Source organism: Homo sapiens, chromosome 20 (assembly GCF_000001405.40).
Source record: "Homo sapiens chromosome 20, GRCh38.p14 Primary Assembly".
Classification (NCBI taxonomy): domain Eukaryota; kingdom Metazoa; phylum Chordata; class Mammalia; order Primates; family Hominidae; genus Homo; species Homo sapiens.
The window spans coordinates 47,787,250-47,812,490 of NC_000020.11; the positions used below are offsets into that span (position 1 = coordinate 47,787,250).

Below are 25,241 nucleotides of genomic sequence, written 5' to 3' on the forward strand. Positions count from 1 at the left end.
AAATCAGAAAAACCTTGCACTTGCTTTTCCAAGTCAGGTGCTGGCCCTACCTTTGGCATCACTGATAAGGCTGAACAGCTCCCACCTTCTTTGCCCTGGGACAGAATGTCAGGCTTCACCATCATAGACCGAAAAATAATGGAGACCCCTCTCCTTCCGCCTCATCTCTGCAGAAGGACATATATATCATTTAGAATTTTCTAGTAGTGGCATTAGAAAGTAAAAAGAAACAGGTGAGGGCCGGGCACAGTGGCTCACGCCTGTAATCCCAGCAGTATGGAAGGCCGAGGTGGGCGGATCACTTGAGTTCAGGAGTTCCAGACCAGCATGGGCAACATGGTGAAACTCCATCTTTACAAGAAATACAAAAATTAGGCTGGGCATAGTGGCATGTGCCTGTGGTCCCAGCTACTCGGGAGGCTCATGTGGGAGGATCACTTTGAGCCTGGGAGGTGAAGGCTGCAGTGAGCCATGATTGTTCCACTGTACTCCAGCCTGGGTGACAGTCAGACCCTGTCTGAAAAAAGCAGGTGAAATTAATTTTAATATTAATAATATAGTTTACTTAACCTAGTATATCCAAAATCGATCTCTTCAACATGTAATCAATATAAAATTAATGAGATATTTTTACATTATTTTTTCTTACTAAGTTTTGTAATCTGGTGTACATTCTAAACTTACAGCACATCTCAATTGGGACCAGCCACATGTGGCTCAGGGGTCCCATGCTGGACAGTGCAACTCTGGCAGGTTCTGCGGTCAATGGCTGTTTCCACCGGGTCATTTCATGTAATCCTCCTGACAATCTTTCAAGCAAACTGATGCTCAGAGAGATAAAGGGTCTTGCCTATAGTCAAAAACTTGGCCAGTGGGATTTCAACCCTTTTGATGCTGTCCCTGGTTTGGGGACATGTACCCCACTGCAGAAGCAATTTTCTTACTGAATCCTCAGGGCCCCTTGGTGGTGCTTCTGGGGCCTGGGGTGGTGGAGGGAGGCCCAGGAATGGGATCTGCCTCCCTCCTACTTTTTATGTTGGGTTCTGGAGAATATTTCAGGGGTGGGGAAATTTCCACGGCAAAAAAAGTCTAAAAAAAACCCCACTGCATTACCACACTGTGCCCTTAGGTCCTCGAGTTCCTGAACATGGCTCTCCCATACCCATAAGGATCCTGCCCACAATGTTTCACTCCATCCTTCTCTGCTCGTCAGGTAACCCCAGTCAGAGAGGGGATGCTTACAATCCCTTCTTCTGGGGCTGTGGGCCTGGCGGACACGTGGCATTTGCTTATCTTTTTGGATATGTTGTTTCCATTGTTGCTGGACATTACCAAACATGGTAACGTCTATGTTGGCCCCTTATCCTTCCTTAAGTAGACGGGGACAGATCTTGTGTGTGCATGCATGTGTACCTGTGTGTCCGAGCATGTATGTGTGTGTTCATTGTAGGCAGGTGCTATGGGTCATGCGTTTTAGTCTGGACTTACTGGCTCAGACACCCATGAGGTCAGAGGGTCTGCAAAGCTCCTCTGGCCGTGTTTCTTCCCCATAATTCCCAGCAAACTCCCTGGTCCTCTGGGTTCAAGGCCTCAGCCTGTTTTCCAGGTCCTTCCAGGCCGGTGGGGACCGCAGGCCCCGTTACGGAGCTTGGAGCTCAGTGTCTGCCTGGGATACATGAGGGGCCCCGAGGGCTCACATGTCCCCCAGCCTGGGAAGTCACTCAGCCGGGCCTCGGTGGGGCTCAGCAGAATCCTGGGCACCCCCACGGCCTCCTGATACTCCAGCCCCTGCCGCCTCCACCCACACGGAGACAGCTTTTCTCCTCCCACATCCCTCATCCCCCATGACATCTCTTGGTATGATCCTGACCATCCTAGCTGGACAATCAAGCTTTTCAAGCTCCTCATGCCGCCCCATTCTCCCCAGCATTGTTGATTTAACCTCAGGGGGACCTTTCTCTTGACGCCTCCATGCCTCGTTTCTTCCCTCTGCAGATTCTTTGGCAGCCCTTTTGTGCAGAACAGCCATCCGGTTCTATCTCCCTTGCAAGGCCGGAGTTGCTGTTTTATTCCCTTGACTCATATATAACAATAAAAAAAATCATTCTTGCTATGTGTTTCTTTATCTCCATCAAGTGGTTGAAACTCAATCTGATTGTCCGAGCACTTCTGGCTGGATTTGGGTTGGAGTCGATGGGATTTTATGAGGGTTGTAAAAGTCAAGCTTTTAACATGTCTCAAACAAATTGGCGTGTAAAGGAGAAACGTTAGAAGAAGGAACATGGCTGCAGACGGGAGGCTTGGGAATGCTAGCCGTAGTACTGGGGCACAGGTGGCTTTAATAATGCACACAAGTTTGGCTGTAAGTTGCTTCTACAAGAGCAGAAGAGGCTGCAGAACCACTCTCAGGAGGTTGAGATCAAACTTCTCGGCTCCTGAGTGCACACAGTTTTGCATGGCTTTTAAAATACAGATTCCAGGATCATCCATAACAATATAAACCTGTGGTTAATTCTGCTGAATTTTCATTTAGACCCAAGCTGTGTTGTCAGTAGAAATGCAATTGCGTTAGAGAAAAACTGTTTATATTTCTTGAGATACTGTGATAATGAAAAACAGTACCATAAACCCCCATTAAGTAAGAAGAACATTAATTGTATTTCATGCTGCCTCCCTGGGCCAGCACGCTGACACAGACATGCTTTACTTCAGCAAAACACGGCTAATCTTTGCAGCACGGTACCCATTTTCCCCTTTAATTATACATAATTGTATAGTCTAATTTATTCTAACGCCTGACGCCGAAAAGTGCACATTTATGAATCAAGGGTTAGTTTGGGAGGGAGGAGAATTATAAACGGGTATAATTGCAGTCTCCTGGGGGCTGCTTATGAGTGATTTCAAAGAATGATGATGTTTATTCTGAATTCTTACCAGTGAAAGACAGTAGGGCTGCCTCCAGTTAAGATACTGTTCTAAGAACGCAGATAACAGGACAATTTGTCTAGTTGCTTACCACACTAGTGGTTTTCCTTTGGATAAGCAGGCAAGAAAGATTAAAGATGTGGGTTCCACATATTTTGTGATGTGATGAAATCCAGGCACACAGACAGCATCAGCAAATGTGCAATTGAATATTAAAATGAGTAATGTGGCCCCAGGCAGCACAGCTGCAGATCTCTGTGGACAAGGGAGAGTGCTTGGAACTCTGTTGGATGATAGTTTTCTCAGGGGGAAAAGCAGGATCCATTTGACCATTAGTGCAATTCACTTTAGGGCTCTCTCTGGAACAGTGCATCTAGTTTTGCAATCGTATTTCAGAAAAATCACCTTTAAGCTTTGATCATAATTAATTAATCAATTATGATGAATGTTGATGGTGATTTAGTAAAAGTGGAATGATGACTTAGGGCCCCCCCAGGGCTGAGGTTTCTAACGAACCTAGGCTCTGCCTCCACTGTCTGGCCCCTCCTTGGCTGATCTTCCCGGGCCTCAGTTTCATCTTAAGAATGAGGATAATATCGAGGACATTGCTGGCTGTCATGTGGATTAAGTGAGATTGATAAAGGTAAAACGCACACACAACGCCTGGCTGGAAGGTACACAATGAGTGTTCACTAAATCAGAATTGGAAACATGCTGTCTTGTGCTCCTGAGAGAGATACTCCTTCATGGTCTGCAAAGCCAGACTTTGAAATCCAGGGCAGTTGAGGCAATGATGCCAAAGGAAACCAGATCACGCCACTCTTCAGCCTAAAATCTCCTCCTCTTAGATGGAGACGCGATCCTGCTCCTGCCTGGCACTCCAACATCTTTCGCTGCTGTCTTGCTTCCATTTTTATTATGACAATTTCACATGGAAAAGTTGAAAGAATAGTACAGTGGACACACTTATACTCTCCACCTAGAATCAACAGTTGCTAATATTTTGCCATGTGTGCTTTATAAGTTGCAGAAACATTTGAGAGGTGGTTGCAGACATGATGACACATTACCCCTCAGGACTTGGGCAGGCATCTCCTAAGAATCAGTTGTTTTCCCAGGTGACCTCCCTATTATTATCACACCAAAGGAAAGGAACAGTAATTCCGTAATCACTCCCTTGCTCACAGAGACACAAAGGTATCTTTCACTTTGTTCCTCAAGCCTTTTCCTGCCTCAGGGCCTTTGCACTTTCTGTGGCCTCTCCCTGGCATCTCTCTCCCCAGATTGTGCTCCAAAAACTCTTTCTCATTACTTGGGTTTCAGCATAATGTCACCCCTTGGGAGAGTTTGTCCCTGTCTGTTTCACCTAAAAATGCTTCCCAATCACTCTATCCTCCCTCCCCATTTTAGCGTCTTCCTATGACATACCACTATCTGAAATTCTGGTTTTATTTTCTGTCTGTGACTGCGGTCTATGTCCCCCTCCCCACTCCCCACCCACACTACCTGCAGGAGAGCAGGGGCCGTGGCCATTTGTTCACTGTTGTAGCTGCAGTGCCCAGAACACTGTCTTGCATGGAGTAGACACTCGACAGATATTTGTTAAATGAAGGAATGAATATCCCATATGTGATGTTTTCAAACAGAAGAGGTGGTAAAATGGAGGGACTGGACCCTAGTTTTTAGAGATAAATCCACACAGCTTCAATCCCAGTGCTACCACGCACCAACTGTGTGTTACTGTGGGCCTGTGTTCCTTAAACTCACCTGCCAAATAGGGACAATGACAATCATCTCTCCACCTTCTAGGACTGTTGCGAGTTATTAATGAGCTTATATACCAAGAGCGTAGAACAGAATCTGGCATCTAACGCCAACCTTTCATAAGCACTTACGATTAATGTTGAATAGGCTGGCCAGAGGCCCATGATTTTAAGCACCACTGGCTGTTCACAGGCTCACACAGAAACTGTCTCCAAGCACAATGCCCCTGGGAGAACTTCTTGGAAGTGCTGATGCTGCCCTGTGTGAGACCAGCTAGGTCAACATTTGCCTGGAAAAAGCTCTGGTTGTTTACAGCAGGCATCTGGGCTGATGAGTCAGGGCCTGTGGTTAGACATTTTGATTCTCACCCCTGAGACCAGCCCTTGGAAGCTCACACAGGAGCCGAGGCAGGGAACCTGGAGAGAAGAGGACAAACAGAGACTTCCCTCTGCTAAATGAGAGTGAATCCGCTGGCAAAGGTCTGACTCTGCGGATTCCCTCCCACTCCACTCTGGTAGGTAGACTCTGTTGTGAATTTTACCTTATTACTGGCCTGTACTTTTTTTTTCTTTTTGGCAAGGTCTTGCTCTGTTGCCCGGGCTGGAGTGTAGTGGTGCAATCATGGCTCACTGCAGCCTCGACCTTCTGGGCTCAGATGATCCTCTCACGTCAGCCTCCTGAGTTTCTGGGACCACAGGTGCATGCCACCACGCCTGGCTATTTTTTTGATTTTTTTGTAGAGATGAGGTCTCACTACGTTGCCCAGGCTGGTCTCGAACTCCTGGGCTCAAGCAGTCCTTCTGCCTTGGCCTCCCAAAGTACTGGGATTATAGGCATGAGCCACCATACCCAGCAGCCTGTACATTTTTAAAAAGAGAATATTTGGTACTGGATGTCCATATGCAGGGGCATGTAGGTAAAGATGCTTTTCAGCTAAAGCTGCAATAAAAAAAAAATGAGTTAGGACTGGGCGTGGTGGCTCACGCCTATAATCCCAGCACTTTGGGAGGCCGAGGTGGGCAGATTGTCTGGGGTCAGGAGTTCAAGACCAGCTTGGCCAACATGGCCAACATGATGAAACCCCATCTCTACTAAAAATACAAAATTAGCTGGGTGTGGTGGCACATGCCTGTGGTCCCAGGTACTCGGGAAGCTGAGGCACGAGAATTGCTTGAACCCGGGAGTCAGAGGTTGCAGTGAGCTGAGATCGCACCACTACACTCCAGTTAGGAAACTAACAGAAGTCTTGGAAATTTTGACGATAAAAATTGCATTTAACTGGAAATAAATAAGGTAGTCTACCCAGGAAAGTGTGTATGTAATATAGGTAATGGGATGACCGGCTTTAATGCAGTTGACTCAGCTAGCATTTCTACTGTACTGGGTGGAACGGTGTCCCCCCGCCCCAATTCATGCCAATCCAGAAACTCAGAATGTGACCTTATGTGGAATTGGGGACCTTGCAGCTGCAGATAGTTAAGATGAGGGTGTAATACTTAGATTAGGGTGGACCCTAATCCAATGATTGGTATCCTTCTAAGAAGAGAAAGTGGGGGCCAGGCATGGTCGCTCATGCCTGTAAACCCAACACTTGGGAGACCAAGATGGGTGGATCACTTGAGGTCAGGAGTTTGAGACCAGCCTGGCCAACATGGTGAAATCCCACCTCTATTAAAAATATAAAAAGTAGCTGGGCTTGGTGGTGTGCACCTGTAATCCCAGCTACTAGGGAGGCTGAGGCAGGAGAATCACTTGAATCCAGGAGGCAGAGATTGCAGTGAGCCAAGATTGCGCCATTGCACTCCAGCTTGGGTGACAGAACGGGACTCTCTCACAAAAAAAAAAAAAAAAAAAAAAGAGACAGAGAGAGTGGGGACGTAGAGATACAGGGAAGAAGTTCATGTGAAGGAGGAGACAGAGATCAGAGTGATGCTTCTGGCAGCCACCAGCAGCTGGAAAGACCCTCCCTGGAGCCTTTGGAGGAGTGTGGCCCTGCTGGCACCTTGATTTTGGACTTCTGGCCTCCGGAACTATGAGAGAGTCAATTACTGCTGTTCTGAGTCACCCAGTTCATGGTTATTGTTATAACTGCTCTAGGAAATGGATATGCCCATCAATGAGTTGGGGCGGCGGGGGGGGCGGGGGGTCACTCCTCTTCTCCCAGGGTGAATGAGTGATGGTGACAGTGGAAAGAGATGTCCCCACGGTGACACCAGAGCAGGAATCTCAGCCCAGGCCCCAAATCAGAGATTCTGATTTAATGGTTCAGTGATAGATCCAGGCCTGGGTATTTTTTTTTTTAAAAACAAGTTTATTGAGGTATAATTTGCATACCATAAAATTCACCCATCTTAAGTGTACCATTGAATGATTTTTAAATGTCCCAAGTTGTGCAACCATTACTGTCATCTGGTTTTGGAACATTTTCAGCATCCCAGTTCCATCCCTTACGGGCATGGGTGGTTTTCAAAGCTGCCTAGGTGGCTCCAGCCTGCGCCAGGGCTGAGAACTCCCGCTCCCTGGGGAGTCCTGGGGGAAAAGGAGAGTGGTATAAGGTTTCCCCAGAGGTGCTCAGGACTAGTTGACCCTGAAATAAATGTGTAGGTAACTTCAAAACATGCCAGTAGGCATCCACAGAAGCAGTTTTGGTTGCGGTGGTGGGGAGAGGGTGGGAGGCCGGCTGCCGAGGTGCATGAAAGCCCATCTGGGCTGTGGACAGTGTCTGGGGAGGGGGTGACGAGGGAGGTGCTGGTCCCATTTCCACCTGGCTGGAGAGAGCACTGTGTCCACTCCCCAGTGCATACATCCTATCTGCCCTGGAAGTTAGGGTGGGGGGATGGGAGATGGGAACTGGGGTTGCTAGCAGGGAGTCAGTGGGTGTGAGGAGGCCCAGCCTGGCCCCTGCATGGCCCAGAGTCAGGTATGTGAGGCTCACTGTTCCAGAGGAGTGAAGCACCACCCCCAAGAACACATAGTAAGGCTAACACAGGGGAGAAGAGGACCCAGGGCTTTGACTCTTTTATTTATTTATTTATTTTTGAGATGGAGTCTTGCTCTGTCGCCCAGGGTGGAGTGCAGGGGTGTGATCTCGGCTCCCTGCAACCTCCGACTTCCTGGTTCAAGCAATTCTGCCTCAGCCTCCCAAGTAGCTGGGATTACAGGCACACGCCACCACGCCCAGCTAATTTTTGTATTTTTAGTAGAGATGGGGTTTCGCCATGTTGGCCAGGCTGGTCTCAAACTCCTGACCTCAAGTGATCTGCCCACCTCGGCCTCCCAAAGTACTGGGGTTACAGGCGTGAGCCACCGCCCCCGGCCTCTACTCTTGTTCCACCTTGGCGCAGCTCCCTGAGCCCTGTACAACCCTGGACAGAGGCTGGGGCCAGCTTGGTCCTGATCAGCACCCAGGGCCGGTCTCTGCTGGGCTCCTGCTGGAGCATTTCCTTGCCTGCCTTCCAGCAAGACCTTGCCTTGCCACGTGAGTCTGACCTGAGCAGTGTCTTCTGTCCGTCACAGCCTGGTCCTCTGCCAGGACTTGATGGAATCGCTGCCCACTTGGCACCCAGGTCTGTCCTCACCCTGCGATGGCTCTTGGGTGACTCATCAATTTGTGCTTATATCCGGTCGTCTGTGGCTCTGGCAGGTCCTGGTACCCACAAGGGCTGGGCTGCCAACCAGGCTTGCAGCAGAGGCCTCTGGGGTGAGCCTGGCTTATCCTAGTCGGTTCCCCTTCACCTCAGAGCGAGTGATTTATGAGTATCACAGCTACTGCTGATTGAATATTCACTGCACATATATGGGACGTCAGCTCTGAGTAGCAGATCCTTGTCGGTAAACGGACTCCCAGATCTCCCCCAGCCTTGGATCCTTTCAGGACCACTGCGTGGATCACATGTGAGTGTGAATGTAGAACAGAAGGATAAGGCATTTTCTTCTTCATTAATCATATTCCATGCTAGCAACCTTCCAGAAGTTTCCCCTGTGGCTAAGGAATATGTAACAGGTACTGGCTGTTTGCAGCTGCATTCACTCAGGGTCATAAGGCATCACACGCCTGGCTATTGGAGTTCTCAGCCGGTGGTGTCTGTTTAGGCGATTAGTGAATTAAGGGCTTGTTTCTTTGACTTCAACAAGGGACCACATCCCAGTGGGCAACTAACAGACACTATTTGGGATGGATGGCCACAGGCTCTCTGTGTCAGCGGTGAAGACCCCCAAACAGGCATTGTTCTTGGGTTATCCACAGGCTGAGTTCTGACCCTGCAGTGTCACTGCAGAGCAGGGAGCCAGCCTCCCCGGGAGGACAGGCTGACAGGGAAGACACCTGAGCTGCTTTGTAGGGGAGCTGCTGTCCTGGTAGAGAAGGGGCTGCTTTGTGTTTTGTGTTTTTTTTTTTTTTGTTGTTGTTGTTTTTTTTTTTTTTTTTTTTTTTTTTTGAGTCTTGCTTTGTCGCCCGGGCTGGAGTGCAGTGGTGCGATCTCGGCTGACTGCAACCTCCGCCTCCTGGGTTCAAGTGATTCTCCTGCCTCAGCCTCCTGAGTAGCTGGGATTACAGGCGCCTGCCACCACGCCCAGCTAATTTTTTGTATTTTTAGTAGAGATGGGGTTTCACCCCGTTGGCCAGGCTGGTCTCAAACTCCTGACCTCGTGATTTGCCCACCTCGGCCTCCCAAAGTGCTGGGATTACAGGTATGAGCCACTGTGCCCAGCCTGCTTTGTGTTTTGGAGGCTGCCTGCATGGGTTCCAGGAGGGTGTTTTGATCAAGGTGACTTGAGGGTGCAGCAGCCTTGGACATCTTTGGTGACATGTTCATTTATCCACTCATTTGAAAAATCTGTTTAAAGTTGCCACCAAGTCACAGTAACTGTATCAAGACCCCAAGGCCCAAAAAGGTGACTTTCGTGACCCCTTGCTCCCAGGGGGCCTAGAGTCTAGTGAGCAAAAAAGATACAAGTGAGCTCCACAGAGTTTGTGACAGAAAGTCTTGTATTTTCCACCACCTACCTCCTTTTTCCCTTTGATTGGTTTGGGTGGTCACGTACCCAGCTCAAGATCACTGAAGCCAGTGGTCCTCGAAGTGTTGTCCCTGGACTGGCAGCATCTGCATCACCGGGGAACTTGTTAGAAATGCCAAATCTTGGGCCCCATCCCAGTCCCACTGAATCGGAAACTCTGTGGGTGGGGCCCAGCCATCCCTGCTTTAACTAGCACCGCTTACCCTGCGCCAGTCATATGCGTGGGCACTTGACTGCTTCTTGCCAATGAGATGTCAGGAAGTATTTGCTGGGTTTTGGGGAAGTCACTTTCTTCCTGTTAAAAAGGCCAGAATCTTGGAAGGAGGGGGCCTGCCTCATGCCCCCTTCCTGCTGCTCTATGTGTGGTCCTGAGCGCACATATGCATGGCATTGAAGAGTCAACGTATGGCCAGGAAGGGCAATGTCACTGTCACCAATCGGCTGAGCCTGACTGAGCAGAAAAGACCAGCCCAGGGAGTTCTTATTAACAAGACAGCAAATGCTTTCATAACATTGCTACTTGTAGCCAAGAGCACCCCCAACTGATCCAAGTTCATGAGGTTGATAATGATGTAGGTATGACCAGAACATCTCCCTGGCTTATTATGATGTTGCATAAGTCCTTTTCTTGCTCTGTATCTTTGTGACATCTGTAGTTCAAAAACCTTGGCCAGACCAACTTACACCCTTTACGATGGCTACTGTCAAAAACCAGAAAATCACAAGTGTTGGTGAGGCTATGGGGAAATTAGAACTCTTGTACACTGTTGGTGGGAACGTAAAACCTTTGGGTGCAGCCACTGTGGAAAACAATATGGCAGTTCCTCAAAAAATTGAACATAGAATCACCATATGATCCAGCCATCCCGCTTCTAGGTATGTACCCCGAAGAACTGAAAAACAGGGACTTGAAGAGAGATTTGTCTCCCATGCTCATAGCAGCGTTATTCACAATAGCCAAAAGGTGAAAGCAACTCAAGTGTCTATAAATGAATGTTTAAGATGGTAAATTTTATGTTTGTATATTGTATCATAACTCAACATTTTTTTCCATGTCCATAGAAATGAAATAATAAACTTCTTTAAAATTAAACTTTTTTTTTTTTTTAAGAAACATGGCTGGGCCTGGTGGCTCACACCTGTAATCCCAGCACTTTGGGAGGAGGCCAAGGCCGGTGGATCACTTGAGCTCAGGAGTTTGAGCATGGGCAACATGGCAAAACCCTGTCTCTGCCAAAAGCAAAACAAAACCATAGGTTAACTGGGTATGGGTGCACGTGCCTGTAGTTCCAGCCACTTGGGAGGCTGAGCTGGGAGGATCGCTTGAGCCCAGGAGGTCAAGGCTGCAGTGAGCCATGATTGTGCCACTGTGCTCCAGCCTGGGCGACAGAGTGAGACCCTGTCTCAAAAGATAAACAAGTAAATAAAAATAAAAAAAGAAAAAAGAAACATACATACACGACTCTTAAAATCCACACCCTTTCCCTCATTTATGTCTGCAGGGCGATGGTCACTGTTGTTCTTGCCTCTCCTCTGAGTTCCGGTCTCATTTATCCAACAGACATCTTGACATCTCCACCTGGATGTTTTGAAGGCAACTCAAGCCAGTGTGCCTGGGTCTGAACTCCTGACCTTCCTTCCCAAACCTGCTCCTCCTGCTGTGTTTGCCTTTGGAGTGACTGCCACTTCTATCCATTATAAGTCAGAAATCACCTCCTCCTCAATCTCCTTCCCTGGCTTAATCCATTTCAAATTCCTTGTGATTGTCCTTCCTAAATACCTGCCAAGGGCGGCCACCCCTCCAGTCACCTCTGACAACTGCAGTGGTACCCGACCCAGCTCCCTGTGCAGACCAGGGCACCGCCCACATCCACGTTTCACGACAGGAGCCAGAGTGAGCTTTTCCAACTGCAGATCTGATTGATTTCATTCTAGTTTCACTGTCAGCAATCAATGCCATATGAAAATATTTCACAGAAAAATCCAACCCCTCCCATTATAAATTGCCATGCAGGCTTCTTCTGGGTTGATTTCTCATCTAGTTATAAGGGCCAAGCTGTCTTCTGGGTCTCTTTGGACTGAGTCTCTCAGGTTTGGGGTCTGACCTTGAGGGTGGGTGGGACAGATGTCACTGATGGTTGATGCCTTAGTTTGGGTTGTCCCAGGTGCAGATTCCGAGACAAGAATTTGAGAGCAAGTAGTTTATTTGAGAGGTGACCTCAGGAAGCTCTGGCAGGGCTTTAGGAAGCGCAACAGGAAAGGGAGGAGGCCAATTCAGGGCGTAGTATTCAGCCAGCTGGTGCAGAGGACAGCTGGAGTTCAGTCCCATGGAGAAATCACACACAATAGAGGAATCCCAGGAGCGAGGGACAGGCGGTATTTATACACCAACTCCTATGAGTTATTACTTGGGGGTTGTTGGAGGTGAGTGTTAATCCCCTGGCACCTCCCACCTGCCACAGGTGTGGGTAGAGTGGACTGCTGAGGTCATGGACAAAAGCCTGCAGGCAAAAAGAAGAAGATATTGGCAGTTAGAAGTGGCTCTGAGCCTGCTGGAGGGTTCCAGGGCTATGTGGAGGGCACGAACAGCATCTGCTCCCCTGGGGATGATGACAGGTGACACTGGGTGACTCAGATCTTCTTGCCATAACATGGAGACACATGGTTAGAAAGCCAGTCCATTGTCTCAAGGAGAAGAGTCCCAGTTTGGTGCTAATAATCTTAACACCTTTCCAACACTGTTCATCTCCATCTGGAACCAAGAAAGAGCCAGCCTTGGGCCTAGTGTCTTTGGTAGGCCGTCGTATGTACCTACCTGCAATTGATGATGTTGCTTTGGTTTCTACTTAATGTTTTCCAATAAACTTAAGCATATAAAGTTTGCTGTTGAAATAAATTTATATAGTTAAAAAATAAATTGATCTTTAAAGTGTTCAATGCCATCCCAGGCTGCCCTCCATGAGACAGGTGGCAGGCAATGCCTAAATCAAGGGGACATAGTGCACGCTCTGCCATGGGCATCTCAGGCCTCTGCCCTCTGGGTTCCAGCCCCTCTCTAACCTGGTTCTCACTTCTCCCTGTCCACTCTATCCACCAAAGCCGCCTTCTCGCTCCCACTAAGTACGTTCTTGGCTCTGGCTTTGTTCCCACCCCACCCCTCTTCCCTCCTTTCTTTTCAATGTCCTGCTCATGCTCGGAGGCCTGACTCCAACACCACCCCCCCCACCCCACCTGAGTCCCCGACCACCCCCTGCAACACACTCCCAGTGGGAGCTGAGGGCTTCCTGCTGGGGCCACCCCCACTCCAGGATTATTTCATGCTGGTGCTCTGCTATTGACTGTTGACAGGTGGGTCCCCCACCAGCCCCGGTGCTTTGTGGGAACAGAGTCCTGGCCCTCTCTGAGCCTGGCCTGGTGCTGTCTCAGAAGAGCCCATGGTCTGTGCTGAGCCAGTGCAAGAGCAGAGTGGACCGCAGCTTCCTCCTCCACGGCACTCCCGAAGCCCCTCGGGTGACTCCGGCCAACCAGGTGTTCCAGCAGAGAGAAGGAGGATTATGGGTGTGACTGTGGCCCTTGTCCTTCCACGGCTCAGGCCGCACTGTGGGAGCTGGTCGCCTTTTAGCCTTTTAGCACTGGTCCATCCGTTTCTTTCCATTGCCCCGTGGAGTCTGTGGCCTTTTCTCCGGGTTCTGACTGAGACCAGAGTCCAGCCTGCCTGGGGGCAGTTGTACACTGCCTTGAGTGCCTGGTGACAGGGTGACAGCACTGCCAGCGTCTCTGGGTTGGGTTTGGGGAGGCACCAGAGGCCTGAGCAGACGGCTGGGGTTGGTTATGGCTGCTGGGAAGGGCACAAAGCCAGGAGTGGGTGGGGCAGGGAGACCATGAGGAGCCTGTGCAGCCCGTTTTGTCTCAGCAGAGGGGCGAGTCCCAGTAGCTTCCCCGGGCCAGGGCGTCAGCTGAGTCCTGGCAGTGCAGGCAGCCCCCAAGCTGGGCATCTGGGCAGCAGGGAGGGGGGGGAGCTTCAGGGAGGACGCGGTGGGTAGCACGTGTCTCAGGGGACACGTGTGCGTGTGAGAGGGTGACAGTGTGTGTATATGTGCGCCTATGAATGTGTATGTGACTGTGTGCGTGAGAGTGAGGGTGTATGTGAGTCTGTACATGTGTGAATGTGTGTATGTGTGTATGTGAGTGTATGAGCCTGTGTGTATGTATGCATGTGTGTGTGAATGTATGTGTGAGTGTAGGTGTGTTGGGGCCTGTGTGCGTGTATGTGTGCGTGAATGTGTGTAAGTGTAGGTGTATGTGAACCTGTGTATGTGTGTGAGCCTGTATATGTGAGCATGAGCCTGTGTGTATGTGTGTGTGTGTATGAGTCTGTGTGTGTATGTGTGAGACTGTATGAGTGTGTGAGCCTGTGTGTAAGAATGTATGTATGTGTGTGTGAGAGTGTGTATGTTGGGCGTGAGAGTGTGCGCATGTGTGGGAGACAGAGTGTCTGGAGGAGGCAGACAGTGGGATATGGGAGCAGAGAGAGCAAGGCGACCTCCAAGGAGAAACGGTGTCTGGGCGACCCTGAGAGCCTGAGATGTGGCCTGGGGGTTACCATGGACGGAAGGGAAGTAGGGGGGTCAGGACGACTCACGCTCTGGTCCTTGTCACTAAAAGTCAGAGCAGCTGAAACTCACCAAGCATCACTCACATCAGACACTGGTCTAAGCACCTTACATGCATTCTCTATATTTTTATTTAACAAATACTTACATCGAGCTTGCCGTGTGGAGGCACTGCTCTAGTTGATTTACAAAACGAAACAAGAAGCGTCGAAAACACATCGAATCAACAAAACACCATCGTGAATTCTCGCAACTGCCCTGTGTGGGAGGCACTGCCGCTACCTCCATCTGCAGAGGGGTAGGGGAGCCTGGGAGCTGGTGGGCGGAGGGCCGGGTGGGGTGGAACTGGCATCTGCCTCCAGGGCTGGGCTCCTCCCATTGCTGATGCCTGGGTTTCACTGTGCTCGTAAAAGCCACGGGTCAATTATGCTTATTACCTGTTCTGCAGGTGAGAAAACGAGGCACACAGGGGTGAGCAATTCGCTCAGCTTGAAAGTGGTAGAACCAGGACCCAGCCCAGGCCATGGCTCGGGACCCACTCTGTAATCACTCACTGGGGGCCCCGCAGTAATGAGCTCTTTGAAGAAAGGTGAGTCACTGACCTTGGCTGTGCCTCAGTTTCTTCATTTGCCAAGTGGGGCTCTGCTGCCCCTGCCTCTGCCCTGCTGACTTGCAAGAAGAGTGAACGAATGGAATTGGATGAAGGCTTCCGGAAACTTCCATCAGGAAAGCGCCCTGGCCTGGGAGAAAGCCGGTCCTGGCCGGCTTTGCCTGCAATGCCCTCAGTGGCCAGTCACGTCCCCTCCTTGGCCTGCAGGTTCCTCACTGGAGCGGGGGTGGCCCGAGATGAACCCTCAGATGCACCAAGCCCCACACCTTGATTGTCCAGCTCTGTCCTGATGGACAGGGGAGCTGCCTGCGGTGACTGTCCAGGAACTGGGTGTCTGGAGACGGGCAGACCCAACCATTTGAGGCTCGTTCTAGGAAGTGTGTTCAGTGTGGCCAAGCTTGGTGACTCTGGGGCTTCTGGAATGGTTCCCATGCCAGAGAATTACAAAAAGATCCTTTGTACTGAGAAGAGAAAGTACAACTTATTCTCTTAGGGACACCTTCCTGGAGGGACACCAGACAAGAAGTCCAGGCCCTGGAATCAGATGCCCTGGGCCAGGCAGCTTCTGTCTCCCCGAGTTCTCTGCGGAGGCAGCACTCTCAGAAGATTCCACGGTTTAATCACACTCCAGCTCTTTTCAGAGCACCTTCTACGTGCCAGGCATGCTCTAGGCACCAGCGATGCAACTGTGGATGAAAAAGACCAAGGCCCTGTTCTCGGGGAGCTGGCGGGGTGGGAGGGGCAGTGAAAAACAAGTACAGCCTGCCCCCGCAAGTACAGTCACATAGACATATGTGTGTATGTGTGCACATATACTTGAAATATCAAGTGGCTGGAGGGTTTACTTTAGACTGGGGGATGTGGAAGTCCTCTCTGAGATGCGCCCCCTTTGATCAGAGGCCTGAAGGAATTAAATGAGTCTTCCATGTGCACATCCAGGGGAGGAAGTTTCCAGGCAGATGGACCCGCATGTGCAAAGGCCCTGTGGTGGAGTGTGCTGGGGGTGTTCTAGGAGGGTCAGCATGGAGGGAACAAGGAGAAGAGCTCGAGCTGAGGTTATGGAGGGCCTCATGGGTCATGGCAAAGACATCTGGGTCATATTCTGAGATAGATGGGGTGGGGTTTGGCACAGAGGACTTTATGTATTTTGCCTTAATATTTTAAAAGGATCCCTCTGGCTGCCTGTGAGCATGGATTGTGCAGGATCAATGCAGGGAGTCGATGTAGGGAGACCAGCAAGGAGGTGATTGCCACAGTCAAGAAGGGATGATGGACGCCCAGGCCTCCGTATTCGGAGCGGTGTGGCCAGGCGATAGCATGGTAGCCATCATCACAAGCTAAAGCCAGCAGGTTTGGTAGATGGTTGGGATATGGAGGAATAAGAGAAAGAGAAGGGTTATGCTGACTCTAAGATTTGGCCTAATCGCCAGAAGGTTGTAGGTGCCTTTTTTTTTTTTTTTTTAAATGGGAGTGACCGGCTTGGAGGGAAGATAAGGGGCATCAGAAACCTGCACAAACCTGCAGGAGTGTGCACTGTGTGACCCTGATGCCCAAAGGTGACCCTGGGGCCAAGCAGTGTCTCCACCCTTAGTCTCTGGGGCCCCTGCCCACCTGCAGAAGGGACCCTAAACACTAACCTTTGATTTAAATCCAAAACATTCTTCCCTAACGTAAAGTTGCCCAGGGCAGTATTGGTTTCTCTTTTAAAGACGCCACCTGGATTCTATTCTAATGGTGGGGGTGCATATCTAGAAAGGATGGGCAGCCCCTGCGGGGAAAGAATGAATGGGGCCAGGTGCAGTGGCTCACACCTGTAATCCCAGCACTTTGGGAGGCCGAGGTGGGTGGATCACTTGAGGTCAAGAGTTCGAGACCAGCCTGGCCAACATGGTGAAACCCTGTCTCTACTAAAAAAATACAAAAATTAGCTGGGTGTGGTGGCACGCGCCCATAGTCCCAGATACTTGGGAGGCTGAGGCATGAGATTTGCTTGAACCTGGGAGTCAGAGGTTGCCGTTGTGGTAGGAGTTATTAAGAAATTATTTTAGGCAGATAGAAAGGAAAAGGGGTCCTTGGGAAGTTTTCGTTTGTTAAAGCATCTCCGGAAGTTTCTGTAAAGCCCGGGCTCTTAGAGCCAGGCGGGCAACCTTTGATATGCAAATGCCAGCCATTAGAAACTGGGTCGCGAGCCTTCTTGCCCTTTCCCGACCTGTTCCTGGCAACATGGCCGCCCCCACATATCCCCACGTGTGTAGAACATTGTGGCGCCCTGTATTTGCATATTAAAAGACTAGGGTGGGAGGGCCAGCTTTTTCATGGGCTACCATGAATGACATGCCTGGTCAAACCAATCCCCTGAGCCCTATGCAAATCAGACACCGCCCCCTCCAGCCTCTGTATATATACCTGGCTGGTATCCATGGCAGGTGGGGACCTCCTCTTTCGGCTTTGGAGCCCCCATTCCTCTGCCTCTGTACAAGGGAGCTTCTTCCTTCTCCCTTCCTTCTTGCCTATTAAACACTCCGCTCCTTAAAACCGCTCCATGTGTGTCCGTGTCATCTTACCTAATTTGACATGAGACAAGAACCCTCCTCCCCTCATCAGAACTGTATCACAGTGAGCCAAGAGGGAGCCACTGCACTCCAGTCTGGGTGACAGAGTGAACGTTCATCTCAAAAAAAAAAAAAAAAAAAAGAATTAATGGAAGAAGCCCGGCCTGGTGGCTCACACCTGTAATCCCAGCACTTTGGGAGGCTGAGGTGGTGGATCACTTGAGGTAAGGAGTTCAAGACAAGGCTGGCCAACATAGTGAAACTCTGTCTTTACTAAAAATACAAAAATTAGCCGGGCTACTCGGGAGGAAGGCTGAGGGAGGAGAATGGCTTGAACCAGGGAGGCAGAGGTTGCAGTGAGCCGAGATCGCACCACTGCACTCCATCCTGGGTGACATAGTGAGACTCTGTCTCAACAACAACAACAACAACAACAACAACAACAACAACAACAACAAGAATGAATGGAAGAAGATTCCATGAGTACCCAGAGTGCTGCAGTCCCATGCACGAGATTTAACGTGGCTGCCACCTGTCCAGATGGGTTTGTGGGAAAGCACTACATCTGTTTAAGGGAGTTTGAATGTTAAAGAGGGATGTTCATCGCAGAAAGGAAATTACTGAGTCTGCAAATATCATCAAGTGGGAGAAAGACGGATGGGACATTTATGGACATGTAGTTTGTCCCAGTGAAATAAAGCATCTTCAAACCTGTCTTTACTGGCATAGAAGTACTGCAGTGTCACCTAACAGAGCAGTTTACATCACAGTGGTGAGTTTCTGAAAAACAAAAAACAAAAGAGTGCTTTCCACCCATCTATCCAGCTTTCTAAAGCAACCGCAATAAAATATGTTTTTGTGCGATGGAATTTACAAAGCACCTACTAATCGCAGAACCCTGGGCTAAGGAGAAGAGTGAAGAAACAGAGCTCATCCTCAGTGGGCCCATGGCTGGTGGGAGAAACACACGGACATAAATGGCACGCAGGATGCAGTGGGTTGGTGCGGTGAGAAAGGTCGCAGGGTCCAGAGAACGGAGAGGGTCAGAGAAGTCTTTTTAGGAGGGATTGTATGTGAGTCAGCTTGCTATTGGCTGCAAGTGACTGAAACCCCTAATGAATCTGGCTTACGCAGTGAGGGAGTATGTTATCTCCCATAACAGAGGTGGACTTCAGGGTGGGTTGATTCAGTGGCTCTGCAACACCACCAGTCTCCCTCGCCTGTTGTGGGATGTCACAATGTGGCTGCCACCAGCAACTGGCACATGTCTTCTTGTCCAGGTGAAGCAGGAAATTTTACCCGACCCCTTCACAGGTGGGACCTGGAGTATCGGAAGCTGGAGCTACCCGGCCACTTCGGTGCCAGCAGGGCAAACTCCACTCACTGTTGTGCTCAACCCCTTGTGGGAGGGAGCATGTAGATGAGCGGGTTCAGGAGCTGCGGCGAGTGCCTTTGGGCGCTGGCAGGAGCAAACTCTGTGCTGGCCCCACAGCAGCGTCTAAGGGAGGGGGGTACCTGCAAACCCGGAAACCCCAGAGGACGGGCGTCACAGTGCTCTTTTAGCTTTGCTGTCCGCGGATGGCTTAAGTGTTAAACAGCTCAGTGGGCCCTCTGCCTTTTTGCATGAGGTTGTTTCTCTCCACCAGCGAGAGCAGACGGTCAGTGTGACAGCCTTTAGTGTCCACACCTGTGGCACCTGAGCTCTTATTTTGCATCCAGGAAAAATCAGGTCGCATGAACGAATTGGACGGTGGTGAATATGGAGGATTTTATTGCCGATGAAAGGGGAGATGGAAAAGGGATAGAGCGGGAAGATAATCTTTCCCCGCTGGGGAACATTCTCTTCATCCTCTTCGAAGCAACACTGTCAAGCCGTCCCTCTGAAGTCAAGCTGCTTCTCTCCAACGTCCAGCTACTTCTCCTCTTCTCTGCTGGAGAAGCCTGGGGTTTTTATGGCACAGGATGGGGGGTGGGGCGTGTCATGTGTGGTTTTGGAAAGGCAACATTCAAGTCAGAAAACAGGAATCCGTGTTCTCACTTCGGGCCATGGTTCCAGGTTTGAGGGTAGGACCCTTGCTGGGGACCGCCCTCTTCTGCCCAGAGTTTCTCTGCCTCCTGTCCCTATCACAGGTCCCCTGGCATTGAGAGAGAAATCACTCCTTCAAGTGTGGGATGTACTCCTTGTCTTCAGTACAATTGGCCATCTTGGCCCATGTGTCCCTTCCGGGACCACTGACAATCACCAGGAGATTGCTGAATGTAGTAACTGTAGACTAATTGGGATGACCCTGAAGCTGAGGACCACGTCAGCATCCCCTGAACCAAGGGGCTGCATGGGGAACAGGTAGACACCAGGACAAAGTCAGGCTTCTGTCAGGAGGAGGAACGTGAAGAAGGATATTGGTTAGGCAGCCGTCTGAGCAGGGCTTTGGTGGAGTGGTGTGCTTTTAGACTAGCAGAGATGACAACAATTACTTTTTGCGTGCTACTCACTGAAATTAGAGCTTTCAATGCAGAGTAGAATCTTCTCTGTGCAACTCCCTTAACTCACTCCCCTGATGCTTCCAAGCCCTCCGTTCCTCTGTAAGTAGAGGGACAAGCCCACAGCTTGGGGCTATCTGCCACTCTCTGAAATGCCCATCGTGTTCTCTGCCTGCTGAAATTCAGGGGTTTGTTTCCAAACCTGTTTACTCTGGATATACCTGGCATTGCAATTGCAAAACTTAGTAAACATAGCAAACGGATAATTAGGAGGGGAAAAAGAAAGGGAGTTGCTGTTTTTATGAACACCAAGTTGAATTGTCTGGAAAGATCTCTTAAGGGCAAAAAGCTGAAAAAGAGATCAGAAAAATATTGAGAACTGCCCAGTAATTGCCCAATATAATAGTCATTGCTGCAGGCAGGGCACCATGGCTCATGCCTGTAATCCCAGAACTTTGGGAGGCTGAGGCCAGAGGATCACTTGAGCCCAGGAATTCAAGACCAGCTTGGGCAATGTAGGGAGATTCTGTCTCTACTTAAAAAAAAAAAAAAAATTAGCTGGGTGTGGTATGCACAACCGTAGTCCCAACTACTTGGGAGGCTGAGATGGGAAGATTTCTTGAGCCTGGGGATTCGAGGCTGCAGTGAGCTATGAATGTGCCACTATACTCCAGCCTGGGTGGGAGAGCCTGTAATCTCAGCACTTTGGGAGGCTGAGGGGAGCAGATCACTTGAGAGGTCAGGAGTTTGAGACCAGCCTTGCCAACATGGTGAAACCCCAACTCTACTAATAATCCAAAAAAAATTAGCCAGATATGGTGGCACCCACCTGTAGCTCCAGCTACTTAGGAGGCTGAGGCATGAGAATCGCATGAACCTAGGAGGCAGAGGTTGCAGTGAGCCGAGATCGTGCCACTGCACTCCAGCCTGGGCAACAAAGAGACTCTGTCTCAAAAAAAAAAAAAAGGGTTGAAAGAAATAGTCATTGCTGCATGTGACTACTGAGCACATTAAATGTGGCTGATGTGACTGGACGTGGTGGCTCACACCTGCAATCTCAGTACTTTGGGAGGCCGAGATGAGAGAATAGCTTGAGGCCAAGAGTTTGAGACCAGCCTGGTCAACATAGCAGGACCCCCATCTCTAATTTTATTTAATTTTATTTATTTATTTATTTTGAGACTGAGTTTCTCTCTTGTTGCCCAGGCTGGAGAGCAATGGCATGATAGCGGCTCACCACAACCTCCGCCTCCGGGTTCAAGTGATTCTCCTGCCTCAGCCTCCCAAGTAGCTGGGATTACAGGCATGTGCCACCACACCCAGCTAATTTTTTGTATTTTTATTTTTTTTTTAGTAGAGACAGGGTTTCTCCATGTTGGTCAGGCTGCTCTCGAATTCACAACCTCAGGTGATCAGCCTGCCTCAGCCTCCCAAAGTGCTGGGATTACAGGCTTGAGCCACCGCGCCCGGCCTCCATCTCTAACTTAAAAAATATTTTTTAAAAATGTGGCTGATGTGACTGAGAAGTTGAATTTTTAATTTTGTTCAATTTTAATTAATTTAAATGATTAAAAACTGATATGTGATTCAGTTATTGGAAAGCTTTTAAATATGTTTGGGGATAGTTGTTTATGTGAATCTACTTTTTCAGCTGTCAAATTTCTAAAATCGAAATAGAAGTCAAGTATATCTGATAAACATGGAGGTGCACTGGAAGGGTAAAACTCACACCAGAGTTTGAAGACTTAGAATGAAAAATGTAAATGACCTTCATTTTTACATTTATTGTATGTTGAAATAATATTTTAGGTATGTTGGGTTAAATAAAATATATCATTGAAATTAATTTATTCTGTTTCTTTTTAGTTTTTTTTTCCTAATGCGGTTACTGAAACATTTTAAATTATGTTTGTGATTCACATTCTATTTCTACTGGACAATGCTGGTGTGGAAGGATCCTGCACCCGGATTGCGTGGCAAGTGTTTTCATACCCTCATTCCACTTCAAAGAAGCCAAAACTGAACATTGTAGAATTATATAAAGAACAAAGACAATGGGAGAATCCAACAGCAGGCCCACATTATGAAGAAAGTCATTAGCCCTGGCATGAAAATATTCGTCAATTATAGGAGAGTTGCATGTTTTCTTTTAACTGTATAAAGCTGTGAGTGTAAACGGGTTTTTTTTTTTTTTGGATTCCCCACCCACTTTAGCATATTTAGCTTTCTTAATGAGCCCGCTGCTGGTCCCAGCTGTGCTGGGTTTTCTGGACAGTTTCTCCTGGTTTTATGGCAGCCCTTGGAGGTCAGGGCAGTTATGACGATTCTCACTCTGGAGCTGGGGAAACAGGCTCAGGGAGGGCGCGCGACAGGCTGAGGGTCCCACAGGCAGTGAGCAGAGAAATAAGGAGCGGCCAGCGGGGGTGCCAGCCTCTGTGCCCTGGGATTCTCTTCTGCATTTTGTGTTCATCGCCTGGCCCTGGTGGCTGTACCTTCCTTCCCCTCCATGGGCCACAGCTCTGGCTCTCATAAGAGGATGGCCCTGGGGCTCCTGGATCTGCCTTGCCTCAACAGAGAGCTGGTTGTGTCTGGAGTGCAGGTGTCCGGAAGCCCAGCTCCCTGCCCTGAGGCAGGACAAGGAGTGGCTGTGACTCACACCCTGGGCTGGATTCCCCTGCAGGGTGGGCTGAAGCCTGCCTCCCTCCCTAAGGGGCTTGGCTTAAGGCCGCACCCTGGCCCGGCTTCCTGCTCTTCCTGATCCCCTCTCCCTACCCCTTTCTCGTCTTCTCTGGTGCAGATCCTAGATCCAGTCCTTGCATGAAGGTCCTCCTCTCAGGATCTGCTTCAACGGTACCTGACATAAAATAGGTGCATGGGACGGTGGGAGAGGAGCATTCAGAAACACGCTGGGGCTCCATACTGCATGCTTTTCAGACACTGGGGCGCTGGGAATGCACCCCTTGTTGCAAACCTCACCTTCAATTCCTGCCCCATGTAAAGCCTTAGGGAACCCCCACTCAGCGGACCCCTTCCCAGATGGGTCCAGTCCAGCATCCCCTCTGCCCTCGGAGGTTCCCAGCACTCTTGGGGGAAGAATAGTCTGAGAGATGCTGTCCTGCTTGGAGAGTAGCCCAGCCTCTGCCGGTGGTTTCTCGAAGCCCTGCTCTTTGTCTTGGGCCAAAGTGTCTCCTCCTGCTAATTCCCTCCTAGAAATCTCCTTTCGAATGTCCCTCTTTCATGTTAGGGTGGTGACTGGTGGCTTTCATAGAGATTTCCACACTCTCTTTAGAACAAATTGGTTCCAACACTTCTAACTGTGGGAATGCAGCCAAAATTCTGAGAGCCCTGGAAAAGTCTGGTTCACTGGATTCACTGTCTCAGAAGAGGACTTTTTCCTGGAAAGAGGCATCTGGAGCAATATTGGTATCAGGGCTGTCACTGAGGCCCCTTTTCTGTCAAGAGCACCATCAGTGGGCAGTGGTCAGTGGTGTGGGCCTGGTGCTGGCCAGGGGTCCTGGAAGTGGCTCCGCTGTCCTGCAGCCATGGGCCCAGGGAGCATTGATTCTGCCCAGCCCGGCTCTGTTCATCTGTGAGCTGAATCCCAATAGCATCGTTGAGCTCAGTGAGGATTAAGCAAGTTCATGCACCCGGAGAGCTCAGAACTGCAGTCCCCGGCCCGCAGTAAGTGCTGTGTGTGTCAGCCCATCGTCGTCCGCTGGTGCCGGTCAGGGTCACAGATGAGCCTTGTCAAAATGCAGCCCGGGATCAGGGCTTTGGGCTTAGGAAGTGAGATTTCTGTAGGAGCGCTTTGAGATTTAGCCTGTAATGAGCAGCTTTGCTTCTAATCGCTCTTGAGAGACAAGCCATCAAACATTGGTTATCCCTAAACTGAGAGCAGAAAGGGCTGAGGGGAGGAACAATGGCCCTGGCTCCCCCTGCCATGCACCCACTCTGCCAGCTGATGACAGACGCAGACGGATGGAGGACGTTCCAAAGTCGAGGCTCAGGGCTGCTGCCTTTTCTCCTTCTGCTTCTTAATTTAAAAAAATTTATCCTAGAGTCTCCGTTACTATAGATTCCCTGACAGTCTGCTGTGGGCTAATCTTCAGGATAAAGCATCACCTTTTTTGAGTGTTTTTCTCCTTCAGGTTTTTCTCTTTTATCTTGAAACCAGGAAGAAACCTATGCTCTCATTCAATGCTGGAAAATGCATCCCTTGCTCATTTTTAAACCTTTTCATCTTCCCTTCATTTTCTGCCTAAATGTCTCAATTGTGTTTATCTTTCTCTTTCAGGGATGGCAGATGCTTAAGTACATGCAGGCTGTGAAGTGAGTTGTAAATAAGATATTGTTATTAGGACTATCCCTGATAAGAAAGGCATGTCCTCTGCACCTCTAATCCTGGGCCACTGCTATGCATCCCCACTTAGATGACCGACTGCAGTCGCTCAGAGCAATTGTAGAGGATGGCAAGGAATCAACCTATTTGGATGAAGACGTTTTGTGGGCGGGCAGAGAAGAAAACTCTTGAGAGAAGGAAGCATTGCCAGGGGCATGGGAGCCTACAACTGCTGGTGCCTCAGTCCCATCTTTGACCAATTCATTCAACAAACATTTATCAAGGAATGTCTTTGTGCCAGACCCCATCCTAGGCATGGGGCATGCAAGAAGGACAGGTCCCTGTACCCATGGAACCCCCGTGCAGGAAGCAAAACAGGAAATGAACAATTAAACAAATACACAGTGTAATTTCAGATCATACTAAATGGTGGAAAATAAAGTGTGTTGATGTGATAGCAAGGGACTGGGGACTAGGGAGCGTCCGGGATTGCTGTCTGTTAGGAGATCATATTTGAGTTGAGACTCGAATGCAGAGAAGGAATCTACTGAGCGAAAACTAGTGGAAGAAGCACTTCTGTTCAACATAGCAGTGGAACTCCTAGTCAGAGCAATTAGGCAAGAACAATAAATAAAAGGCATCCAAATTGGAAAGGAAGAAGTAAAATTATCTCTGTACTCAAGTGACATGATCTTATATGCAGAAAACCCTAAAGATTCTACAAATCCCCCTGTTAGAACTAATAAGTGGATTTGACAAGTTGCAGGATATAAAATCAATGTGCAAAAATCAGTGAATATGAACAATTCAGAAAGAAAATTAAGAAAACAATTCAATTTACTATAGCATCAAAAAGAATAAAAGACAGGAATAAATTTGAAGAGGCAGAAGATTTGTACCAAAAACTATAAAAAACTATAAAAATTGCTGAAAAATTAAAG

The 25,241-nt window shown here is 49.2% G+C and overlaps 2 long non-coding RNA genes across 2 annotated transcripts, besides 5 other annotated features; one reads left to right on the forward strand and one right to left on the reverse strand.

The window, feature by feature from the left end:
• Window positions 1-90: 90 nt before the first annotated feature.
• On the reverse strand, window positions 91-10,000 carry LOC124904921 (uncharacterized). Its single transcript, XR_007067619.1, has 3 exons — window positions 9,909-10,000; window positions 9,695-9,791; window positions 91-167 (listed from the first exon to the last, which is right to left on the reverse strand). It is a non-coding gene; the product is annotated as an uncharacterized LOC124904921 (long non-coding RNA).
• LOC107985401 (uncharacterized) lies at window positions 4,886-12,622 on the forward strand. Its single transcript, XR_001754648.3, has 2 exons — window positions 4,886-5,203; window positions 11,208-12,622. It is a non-coding gene; the product is annotated as an uncharacterized LOC107985401 (long non-coding RNA).
• Window positions 12,978-13,597: an enhancer, noted in NCBI's record as "H3K4me1 hESC enhancer chr20:46428971-46429590 (GRCh37/hg19 assembly coordinates)". NCBI's record gives its function as "activates a minimal SCP1, AML or CMV promoter by ChIP-STARR-seq in naive H9 embryonic stem cells {active_cell/tissue: H9 hESC(naive)}" and the evidence as "EXISTENCE:reporter gene assay evidence [ECO:0000049][PMID:30033119]".
• Window positions 16,245-17,199: an enhancer, noted in NCBI's record as "OCT4-NANOG-H3K27ac hESC enhancer chr20:46432238-46433192 (GRCh37/hg19 assembly coordinates)". NCBI's record gives its function as "activates a minimal SCP1, AML or CMV promoter by ChIP-STARR-seq in naive H9 embryonic stem cells {active_cell/tissue: H9 hESC(naive)}" and the evidence as "EXISTENCE:reporter gene assay evidence [ECO:0000049][PMID:30033119]".
• Window positions 17,200-18,154: an enhancer, noted in NCBI's record as "OCT4-NANOG-H3K27ac hESC enhancer chr20:46433193-46434147 (GRCh37/hg19 assembly coordinates)". NCBI's record gives its function as "activates a minimal SCP1, AML or CMV promoter by ChIP-STARR-seq in naive H9 embryonic stem cells {active_cell/tissue: H9 hESC(naive)}" and the evidence as "EXISTENCE:reporter gene assay evidence [ECO:0000049][PMID:30033119]".
• Window positions 21,775-22,356: an enhancer, noted in NCBI's record as "H3K27ac-H3K4me1 hESC enhancer chr20:46437768-46438349 (GRCh37/hg19 assembly coordinates)". NCBI's record gives its function as "activates a minimal SCP1, AML or CMV promoter by ChIP-STARR-seq in naive H9 embryonic stem cells {active_cell/tissue: H9 hESC(naive)}" and the evidence as "EXISTENCE:reporter gene assay evidence [ECO:0000049][PMID:30033119]".
• Window positions 22,357-22,937: an enhancer, noted in NCBI's record as "H3K27ac-H3K4me1 hESC enhancer chr20:46438350-46438930 (GRCh37/hg19 assembly coordinates)". NCBI's record gives its function as "activates a minimal SCP1, AML or CMV promoter by ChIP-STARR-seq in naive and primed H9 embryonic stem cells {active_cell/tissue: H9 hESC(naive and primed)}" and the evidence as "EXISTENCE:reporter gene assay evidence [ECO:0000049][PMID:30033119]".